We start from the raw sequence: 11,855 nt of genomic DNA, 5'->3' as shown, positions 1-11,855 counted from the left end.
CATTTATCCTCCCTGTTAAATCAAAATAAACTTATGCATATCTTATACATTTTCAATAATATAAATGGAATTTATATTTTGAAATGATGTCATATGGCAAGAAAGCATAGACTGAATTAATCTAGTGCTCCTTTTAAAGCCAAATTGCCAAACACTTTTAGAAGGAAACTTTATCCACCATGGCTTAAGCCTAAATTCTTAGGTGAATTATGATCTGTTAATCAGGTTTCCTGAATTTACACAGCTCCCAGCTAATTGCCTAGGTTCTGTCAAATTCCTCATCAAAAAGAAAAATCAAGTGTTGCTGAAGTCTGATGCTAAGAAAAATGCATTTTTATAAAAATAAGATCAAGAAAATGCATAAACAATATAATTTCTACATTTAGGAGCCTTGGTGAAGAGGACCAACATTCTCATTGCTGATGGGATTTGAGACCTGTTACTTTTCCACTATCATTGAAACCAGCAGAAATTGCTCTCCCACAGGTGCAGGATTGATTGGTGTTTTCTGAACATGATGCGCACGATGCTAGAATGGGCCATCAGCATCATAAGTGAAAAGAAAATGAGCAGGTAGAATCACTGAGTGTACAGCAAGATTCAATCTATACTTTGCTATGTCCATAATTTCAAAACAGCAGTGTTTTTTTGTTGGGCATTATGAGTCAAACACAGGTCAAGTTTACGTTGTTAGAAACTTTGCAGTAAGTCCTCAGCAAAGAACATAGGCACACTTTCAAATCCTAGCTGTCATTCTTGGTAAAGTTGGAACAGAATAGACATGGCTTAAGAAAGAAGATAAATGTCATCATTTTTACTAGTAAAGACTTAGTGAAGTATCAACTGGCACATGCCAATGAACCTTGCTTCTCCAGTTCAAGTTTTCTATGCCCTCCTAGAAACCCAAAAACTCAACGCTGATTAAGTAAAAGAAAAATTGGGTCTATTCCCTAAATTCCTGTCCCTTCATATACCATCTCAGAAGGCTTTTGGTTCTTCCTGGGTAGCTCTTGCTGAAATAGTGAATGTTCTCTTCTCAGTAACTTAATAATAATTTACTGTGGATATTGAGCCTTAGAGCTTCAGAAGATTTATTCCATATCTACTTTTAGTTTTTGCTTCAGGTGCCGTGTAATGTCTTAAGCTGTAGTACATGTCACCTTTGGAGAGGAGGTTGTGAGGTGGCCAGGCCAGCCAAGGTAGAGTCTGTAGCCTCCAAATCAGTCAGCTTGACTTGCCAAGAGAGAGATAGGCCACTTCACCAGGCGTGACCCACTTCCCTTTCTCTTCCTGGGGTTGCAGCCCAAGCTGGCTCACCTGCTTCCCTCAGTCAGATGTCTCTGGAGAGGCCAGGATGTTCTCAGATGTCGGTGGTGGTGGGGATCGCTTTTCAAACTTTAATGTTTCTTGTCAGTTCTTTCATTCTGGAAGAATTATCATAAAGTACAATCTTCCATGGAAAAGTCTGGTCATCCAAAGCATGTGCCCCAAACCAGATATATGAGCTGGTTGACCTGCTCACCCCTTATATAACCTCAGATTTCCTGATTAAGTTCTTTAATCTTAATTGTTTTAGAAAAAGATTCAAAGCTTCTAAAGCTCTTTACTCCTAGCCTCCTGGGCACCGATGTTGGGTCCCAGGCTGTCTTGCCACATTGCTTTGGCAGAACAATGACTTTCTCTGGAATTTTAAAAAATATAATGAGGCTGTTCTCTTGCTTTGTAACTTTTTATCTCAGCATGAACTCAGTTCTCATCAAGGAGCTTTGTTTGCAGCATCAGAGCTTTAATTTTTTTTATTCCTTAAATAATAACTCATATCAATAAAGGCTTTATACAGCAGATCTCTCATTTTTTCTTAGAATATTTCTCTTACCTGCATAAGCAGAACTATTTAAGTAGTTAAATCTCCTATAAAGGAAATTATATGTTTTTCCAGAGGAAGAAGTTTCAAATATTGATTTTCATTATGACATATAAAGAAAGCTGTGATTCCAAAAGAACATGAAATAGGTAGCTACAGAGCCAAATAAACGTCCATGCTTACTTAATAAATATTGTAGTTACTAATCAGAAGAAATGGATGTATATGATTATGGCTCTTCAATATATAGACTATCTTACCTTTTGTGGGGAGGGAAAGTGAATTTTAGATGCTCCAGAAAATGTATTAATCTATTGAATGTTAATTTTCTCTTAAGAAATTATTTCAATGTTATTTGGTCTCCTTCTTTTAAAGACTTCTAATTACTTTAGTAAGGAAGGAAGCAGGTAAAGAAAGAGGAAAACATATATATCACTCACAAATATATGTATATTCACATTTTACATATGCACACACATAAACACACACTTTTCACATTGGCTAACAGAAAACCACTGTCCTACAAGGTCACATTTTCTATGTTTTTCAGTGAAAGATTCATCTGACTTCTTATGTTCTCATATCCAGTAATACTTACACAGAACTGAGAAGAAGATACTTTTAATGTTGTTAGGAAAACTGGCTAGCCATATGCAGAAAACTGAAACTGGACCCCTTCCTTACACCTTATACAAAAATTAGCTCAAGATGGATTAAAGACTTAAACGTAAGACCTAAAACTATAAAAACCTAGGCAATACCATTCAGGACATAGGCATGGGCAAAGACTTCATGGCTAAAACACCAAAAGCAATGGCAACAAAAGCCAAAATTGACCAATGGGATATAAATAAACTAAAGAGCTTCTGCACAGCAAAAGAAACTATCATCAGAGTGAACAGGCAACCTACAGAATGGGAGAAAATGTTTGTAATCTATCCATCTGACAAAGGGCTAATATCCAGAATCTACAAGGAACTTAATCAAATTTACAAGAAAAAAATAAACAACCCCATTAAAAAGCGGGCAAAGTATATGAACAGACACTGCTCAAAAGAAGACATTTATGAGGCCAACAAATATATGAAAAAAAGCTCATCATTACTGGTCATTAGAGAAATGCAAATCAAAACCACAGTGAGATACCATCTCATGCCAGTTAGAATGGCAATCATTAAAAAATCAGTAAACAACAGATGCTGGAGAGGATGTGGAAAAATAGGAACGCTTTTACACTGTTGGTGGGAGTATAAATTAGTTCAACTATTGTGGAAGACAGTATGGCAATTCCTTAAGGATCTAGATCCAGAAATACCATTTGACCCAGCAATCCCATTACTGGGTATATATCAAAAGGATTATAAATCATTCTACTATAATGACACATGCACATGTATGTTTATTGCAGCACTATTCAGAATAGCGAAGACTTGGAACCAAGCCAAATACTCATCCATGATAGACTGGATAAAGAAAATGTAGCACATACACACCATGGAATACTATGCAGCCTTAAAACAGGATGAGTTCATGTCCTTTTGCAGGCACCTGGAGGAAGCTGGAAGTCATCATCCTCAGCAAACTAACACAGGAACAGAAAACCAAACACCGCGTATTCTCACTCGTAAGTGGGAGTTGAACAATAAGAACACATGGACACAGAGAGGGGAACATCATTTGGGGCCTGTCGCGGGGTTGGGGGCTAGGGGAGGGACAGCATTAGGAGAAATACCTAATGAAGATGACGGGTTGATGGGTGCAGCAAACCACCATGGCACATGTATACCTATGTAACAAACCTGCATGTTCTGCATACGTACCCCAGAACTTAAAAGTATAATAAAAAGAAAAATAGAAAGTGGGTCATGTCCTCCCTTGCATGCAAACAAAGGAAAAGTATCATTTCTACATTGCAATGAGCAATGCTAAAAAAAGTGCAGGAGGCTATTTTCATCTCCTGCAACTTTTTGCTATCTCTCTATACTCTTCCTGACTTTACTGCAGGCGTGGTGATGTAAATGATACGGTGTTGTAAACAACAGAGTATTGAACCTGGCAGAGGAGAAGTGAAATGGTGCCTTTGAAATTTGTCTCTAACATAGTATACCTGCTACTATCCTTGTCCAAGTCAGAATGCTCTGGAATTACCCAGAGACCTCTGACAGCCGCAGGCTGGCTGAGTTACCAGAACGGCTGCTATTGCTCCACACAGCCCATTCTCTGTTGGTCTCCAAGGAGCAACATTAAAGTCCCATCAATTTAGACTGTTGGTTTCAAAGAGTCAGATGGTTTGGAAATGTGTGATGGCATTTCCTCCCTCCATCCTTTCCTCCGTTCCTTTTCTTTTTCCTGATTTTCTTTGTTCCTGCTTGTCACAGTGCCTGCAGGGTGCTATCGGTATTTAGTGGTCAGGAACCAGAAATGCCATCTCCATGTAAAAAAAAAAAAAATCCCCCTCCAAATGCCTAAAATACAGATTGAGAAACACCTGATTTAAACAGTCTCATCAAGAGCAATAAATACGTAGATAAATAAGGAAACAAATAAAAAAAACTTGATGTGATAGTGAATGCTATCTTGAATAAAAGTAATTTATAATCAATTAAGTTCATAACTTATTTTATCTGTGGGGAGGAGTCTTTCATGAACATGATTGAGATGTGAAATTAATATAACTGCTATAAGTTGAACCATGTTCCCCAAAAAGATAAGCTGAACCACAACCTCTAGTACGTGTGAATGTCACCTTGTTTGGAAATAAGCTCTTTGCAGATATAATCAGGTTAAGATGAAAATGGGCCCTAATCCAATATGACTGGATGACTGGTGTCCTTGTAAGAGGGAAGTTTGGACACAGAGTGACTCAGAGGAAAGGGGGCCATGTGAGACAGAGGTGGAGATTGAAGTGATGCAGCCCCAAGCCAAGGAATGCCTGGGGCCACTGGAAGCTAGAAGAAGCAAGGAGGAATCCTCCCCTGGAGCTTCAGAGGAGGCATGGCTTTGCTGAAACCTTGATTTCAGGCTTCCAGTTTCCAGAAGTGTCGGAGAATATGTTTCTGTTGTTTTAAGCTTTCCGAGTTTATGGTAATTTGTTATGGCAGCCTCAGGAAACCCAGACAATAGCTAATCTATATTTATCCAAAGCTTGGCAAGTTGGCATAGTTCAAGGGGGTAGATAGCTCACAGCAGTTTGGGGATAGGACACTTATTTACTGATAACCTTTGCTTCTGGGCAACTGAGAAGACATATTTCCCTTTCTACCCAGGAGGGCACACTTCCTTCTAAATTCCTCTAGTTTTGGTTGATATCACCAGGGAAGATTTCCAGAGTTCCAAGATGAAAGGAAAAAAAGTATCTTTTTGGTGACATAAAAACCAAAAGAGCAAAACAAAACTCCTTTCTTTGTCACTCTTTTTCTGTTGCAGAAGCAGATTATGTTGAAAAAAAAAAAAAAAAGAGTAAGAGGCCAGCCATAGGGAAGTGCCTCTATTTGATGCCACCTTCATTTCCACAGGACATGTTTGCCATCTCATGTTTACTGTCTTGTCTAGGCTCTCTTCTATAACACATTTCAAACATGACAACTCATGTTTATTGGCCTTGCCTAGGTGATGTTCTAACAACACATTTCAAAGGTTAAACAGTGAACTGCAATATTAAAATAAGAAAACTGACCTATAGGCTGGGCGCAGTGGCTCACGCCTGTAATCCCAGCACTTTGGGAGGCTGAGACAGGTGGATCACAAGGTCAGGAGATCGAGACCATCCTGGCTAACATGGTGAAACCCCATCTCTACTAAAAATACAAAAAATTAGCCAGGCGTGGTGGCGGGCACCTGTAGTACCAGCTACTTGGGAGGCAGGAGGATGGCGTGAAACTGGGAGGCGGAGCTTGCAGTGAGCCGAGATCGTGCCACTGCACTCCAGTCTGGGTGACAGAGCAAGACTCCATCTCAAAAAAAAGAAAACTGACCTATACAGAGATATAACTCATGCCCATTTCTTACTAAGTACAAAACCAAACAAATAGATGCATTTTTTCTCAGAGGAAACGTGGGTTTTCTCCTTCCTATGGAAAGCTCCCCTGTGGCTAGTACTGGATAACTAACTGTGGATCTTTTAAAAGACAATCCCTATTGCATTCACTTGTCTGGAGTGAAATTTTATTTCATAAGGATGTTCAGGTAATGATGATTGCCCAAATATAACAAGCTTGTCTGTAAAGTGATTACAATGCCCTTTTGTTTGTTTTTGTTTTTTGTTTTTTTTTGAGACAGAGTCTCGCTCTGTCGCCGAGGCTGGAGTGCAGTGGCATGATCTTGGGTCACTGCAACCTCCGCCTCCTGGGTTCAAGCGATTCTTCTGCCTCAGCCTCCCAAGTAGCTGGGATTACAGGCACCTGCCACCATGCCTGGCTAATTTTTTGTATTTTTAGTAGAAACAGGGTTTCACTATGTTGGCCAGGCTGGTCTCGAACTTCTGACCTCGTGATCCACCCGCCTCGGCCTCCCAAAATGCTGGGATTACAGGCATGAGCCAAGGCACCTGGCCTATAATGCCTTTTCAAATTTCATTTGCTGATGTGTAATCACAGGAAACCGGCCAACTGGATCTCCTGGACCCTGTCATCTCTCCTGTGTTTCCTCTGTGTCTTTTTGGTGTCCAGTGCATTCACCATGACTCTCACTGTGCGATTCCTGATCCAAGTGGTGTTGCAGCTTCCAGCCCACTTCCCTCTTCCCTATAAGATGTATTTGTCTTATAGGCCACTCACCTGGTGCCTGTGCTTTTCTACATGCCAGTACATGGTAATGGATAATAACTTTCAGCTACTCTAAGTTAATGTGTTACTTCTCTCAGAGATCATAAAGCCTTTAAATCTTAACTCTCAAGGAAAGGAATGCTGGTGAACAAGCTTGAAGAGGCTTTGGAGTTCCTGAAGTCAGGGGACTAACGTTTACATGAGATTTTTAGTTAAGTTCTTTCACTAACTAGCTGTGAGACCTTGGAGTCCACATTTTGAGCCTCAGTTTCTGCAGTTCAATTTGACAAGCATGGAGCACTTGCCATGTATGTGCTCATACCTGGGAGGAAGGGATATGAAGCTAAGACATGACCTCTGTTCTCTAAAAGCTGAAAGACTAGTAGGGCTGACATGTGAAGAACACAGGGAAAAATCTGAGCCTGCAAAATGAAGAGACTTTTGGTTGGCAGAGAATGGAGGAGTGTGGCATTCTAGAATGAGGAAATGGCATGAGCAAAGGCAGAGAGGCCTGAAAGCGTCCAGCAGTCTTCCTGGGGAAGACTTTCCAAACAAGAGTGACCTCTCTGCTTCTCTGGCCTTTCACACCATGATAAGAGGCACCTCCTTTTTTTGTTCTAACTCTAGTTCAGATCCCAAGCCACTTGCTAAACACTGCGGACTTGTTTTGCAAGCAACTAGGAGGTCTAGAGGACTCATTTTAAAACTTCTTATAATGGAAAAACATAATCATCTGCAAAGGAGGAGAGAAGAGTATAATGCATCCCCATGTTCCTTTCAGCCAGTTTCAGCAATTATTAACTCACAGTCATTTTTCCTATAATATTCCCACTCCCATATTATTTTGAAGTAAATACTAAGCATCATAGCATTTCTTCTATAAATAAAATAGTATGTATCTCTAAAATATAAGGGTTGTTGAAAACATAAGGGTTATATTATTATCATATTGAAAATATTAACAATACCTTAATGTCATCATATATCTAGTCAGTGTTAAAATTCACCATCGTCTTACAAATGTCATCATTTATTATTGCAGTTTTGGTTTGATTCAGGATCCAAATAAAGTTCATAATTGTGATTGGCTGCTATGTCTCTTAAGTCTCTTTCTAGTTTATAAATTCCTCCTACCTCTGTCAATCTTTCTCTCAATCTCTTTTTTTTTCCTTGTAATTCATTTATTGAAGAAACCTGGTTATTTTTCCCATAGAGTTTTCCATAGTCTGGAGTTTGCTGATATCATCCCCACAGTGTTATTTAACATCTTCCCCAGTCCTCTGTATTTCCTGTGACTTGATTGTTGGAATTAGAAACTTGATCAGATGTAGGTTTCTTTCAATTTGGCAAGACTGCTTCATAGGATATGGTGCATTCTTCCATTAGGAGATGTAGTACCTGAGTGCATCACACTCCACGGTGTTGGCAGCCACTGATGATTAGCATCCAAGCCCACTAACTCAGTAGGTAATGCAATATGGTGATATTCTATTTTTTCCATGCCTTCTTCATTTATTAGCTGGAATAACCCTAGAGAAAATTATCCCATCATCTAATATTTGGTCACTCAATGGTACACTTCACAAAATAAACGCAGGCTTAGATAAATAAATCAATTAAAAAACTTGATTTTTCTTCTACTCATCTATTATGTTTTCAAAATAATGTGTTGCTTATTAGCATTCTCCAATGAAGGTCAACGAATTTTGTATTATTATTGTTTTGTTTTTGGCATTATTGTGAATTTACGAGTTTAAACGTATTTAATGTGTTTCAAACTATTACAATTATAATCATCATCAATGCTCAAATTGTCCCAGCTTTGGCCAGTTGGTGCCTCATTAAGTGGTTTTGAGTCCTTTTGATGGGATCCTAGTATTCTTTGAGAATATGTTTACTACCTGGTCTAACAAGATATTCCAGATTCATCTTATGTATTTCCTAACCCAGACCCGGAATTAGCCACTACTCCCAGGAGCCTTCATTCTTTTTAGCAGAAGTAAAATTTACAAACCATAGTCTCAGCACCTATAAGATTATCCTCTTCCTTTGGAAGAGAGCAGGCAATTTGGCATGGCCTAAATAAGTCCCAAGACTGGCAAGAGACTGTGGGAAGAAAACGGGTGACCATTTAGGAGTTACTGATAAGAGATGATAAGGCTCTCAACCAAGGCTGTGGGGATGGGGAAGAGAATCAAAGTTGGGAAAAATTCTAGAGACTACATTTATGCAAGAGAATTTAGCAACTGATTTGGTAGTTCAAGGGAATGGGGGCAGAGGTGGGTAAAAAATTAGAAACCTGGGTTCAACGTCTAGTCCAGTTCTGTTACTTATCTACTGTGTGATTTGTGGCTCATTACTTGACTTCTGAACCTCAGTGACCTGAACGGCAAAATGGGAATAGTACTGCGTACTTTCTAGAGTGTGAGAGGATTAGATGAAGTGGCAGATGAAATGAATGTAGCACAATGTGTGATACCTAGTAAAACTAAAAATTTAAAAATGCGACACTCCCAAGTATCTAGTTTTATCTATAATGTGAGAGGTTGGCCTAGATCACCCCTAAAACTTTCAGTCAGTTCTGCTCCAGCCCTCTCCCCAGTCACACCTGTGCTGCTTTCTGATAATGTCATAGAGTATTAATAACATATCCTCCAGCATTTACCTACACCACATTTTATTGATTATTTTGTTGAAAAGATTATATAAGAAATTTAATGTTGCCAAAAGAAAAATAAATTGTATATTCTTCTGAGGGCTGTTTTTCTTTTTTGATATCTGTGTTGGCCACTTTCATTTTAGAAGAGCTTAGAATAATGTTTTAAGAAATTGCTCCCATATGTGACAAAGAGAGGAGATCTAAAAAACTAACAAAGTATATTAAATACTGATCAGTTAGGACAGAGTGCCTTAAAATACTATGCAAGGTGGTTATCCTGATCAATGATTTATGCAGCATCTGGTTTTAGAAAATGGAATATTTGTTTAAGTCAATTCCTTCCCAGAACCTTCTCTAACCATTACATCAGTGATGCCCGGTAAACATTGTTGAGGTTATTTGCTTCTCTAAAATCTTATTTTCGAGGGCTGTAGCAGAATGAATTTCGAATCAAGATTTTTAAGATCAAAATAGCCATCTAGCAGTCACTATAGCCACATTATCTGTTGCTAAAAAGTGATTAACAATATTCATAATATCTCAACTTTTAAAATTGTAAAGGGAATACAAGCTGTTTATTAAAAGTTCAGGCAATGAAAGAGAGAGGGAGAGAAAGTAAAAGTGACCCAACGTTCACTCATCAGATACCATTGTATCCTTCTAAACCCTTTCTCCACAGGCGCACACAACATACATTTAATTTTGTAGCTTGCCTTTCCAACATACTGTGAAATATAAAGTTACAATATATTATGTCAATATATTCATTTTTGTATGTCAGTACATCATGGACCATTTCATTATTTTAAGCAGTTGCCTAATATTGCCCAGTATGAATGTTGAATTTATGTTGGTTTATCTGACCAGCTCATTATTGTTAGACATTTACATTGTTTCTAACTTATTTTTATTAAAAACAGTCCTTAAGCCAAACAAGCAAACAAACAGGACTTTGAATCAGGTATGGGTAGGTGACAGATACATTCTTATCTATTTCTGTGTAATGTGGCTTTAAAAAACCGTCATTGAAACAAGAGACAGCTGTTTCTTATGACATTAATTTTTTTTTAACCAAAATCTTGGCTGTAAATTTCTGAATCTCAAAAACCACACTTTCTTCTTTTCTGTTACCCCTCCAATCTGAAACTCTATTCTCAGTGATGGAACCGTTTTCACTTGCTGAGCAGCCACGCTTGTCTTTGAGATGGGAGGCATTGAAAGCCTGCCTACTCTTGCTGATGTGCAATTCTTTTCCTTCCGGTGAGAGATCAGGCCCTGCTTTTCATTTCACTCGGAGAACATGGTGACTCCCATGGGAGAAGAGGTGGGGCCATGGTCACCTGTCCTCCAGCACCACAAGCACAAGACCAGACGCAGCTCTCTGCTGGGCCTCCAGCACAGGTCAGAGCTACTCTCTGGGGCCACACCTCTGTTTACAGTCAAGGCTGCTGACGTCAAGATGGCTGAGAGCCTGCCCTTCTCAAGAATGGACAAATGGACATCATGGAACAAGCAAGGCAAATATTTTAAATAAACACAAAGTGTCATCCTCTTCTTTGGTTTGTTTATAGGTTGCTCTTCAAGTTGATATAATCTTACATTTTACCACGATTGCTAAGGCTGCAAGGCAAGCATGTTATTTTTTAAGCTCATATTATTTTTCCCAGCCTAAAAATAATTAAACATTATTATTTTGAATAAGCCAGTGTGCACCATGAGTATTTGTTTCATGATGTAGCTGGGGGATATGCCAACCTTGGGGATTTTAACACCAGCCACATCAAGAGGTGTCAGCCCTGCTGGGTAGATGACAAGTGCTTCCTTCCCCCACCTCAGCTAAGGTGCAGGTTTTATTTGAGGCAAGACTTCTGCATCCCTTCTATCCATTGCTTAGTATAAAACACAATTCATATTTCAGAACAACCGAAGAAGGTAGCACAGGGTCTCTAAGGTCAAGGAAATGCCCATTCTGTTCTTGAGCTTATTAGTGACTAACTTATAACTTTACCATTCATCATCTTAATTTACTTAAATTTCTCAGACTTAACTGGGTAACTTTCAATAGTGCTTCCCTTAGACTCAAATCACTTTTCATCACCAGGTTATTTTTAGTTATTTGGAATTCTCAAAAATGCTCGAATGGTGAAGGTATCTTTATCTTCCCTAGCTGAGCTCAAAGGTGACATTTTCTTAATTGTCCAGGGAGTTTATAAAGTTTTAGCTATTTTTAAATGATGTCTATGGCACCAAATAAAGCTTACATTTTAAGAAGAAAAATTTTGTATGTGTATAGCTCAAAAATAGCTGATTTTCCAAGTTTAGCTTGTGTAATCCTCAATGAAGACTAAAGGCCTGACTCATTTTTTTTTTTTTACAGCTTTTTGGAAGCACTAGACATAAGCACCTGATAGTAAGCAAGTTTGCCAATGTCTCACTTTTGGGTCATTTAAGGCAAAATCTGAATTAAGTATTCATTTTGCCAGCCCTCAGAAATGTATTTTAATCATCCAATTTAACAAATAGATTTTTAGTACCCTCATGTGCCCACAAAGAATTCTAACACAGTGGG

General features: G+C 38.6%; 1 protein-coding gene across 2 annotated transcripts in view; it reads right to left on the bottom strand.

The window, feature by feature from the left end:
* PARM1 (prostate androgen-regulated mucin-like protein 1) overlaps positions 1–11,855 on the bottom strand; it is a 116,998-nt gene that overhangs the window by 94,957 nt on the left and 10,186 nt on the right. The gene's annotated exons all lie outside the window — the stretch shown is intronic.

Source organism: Homo sapiens, chromosome 4 (genome assembly GCF_000001405.40).
Source record: "Homo sapiens chromosome 4, GRCh38.p14 Primary Assembly".
NCBI classification, from domain to species: Eukaryota; Metazoa; Chordata; class Mammalia; order Primates; family Hominidae; genus Homo; species Homo sapiens.
The sequence above is the reverse complement of the archived record's forward strand: the minus strand, read 5'-3'. Positions and strand labels throughout refer to the sequence as shown.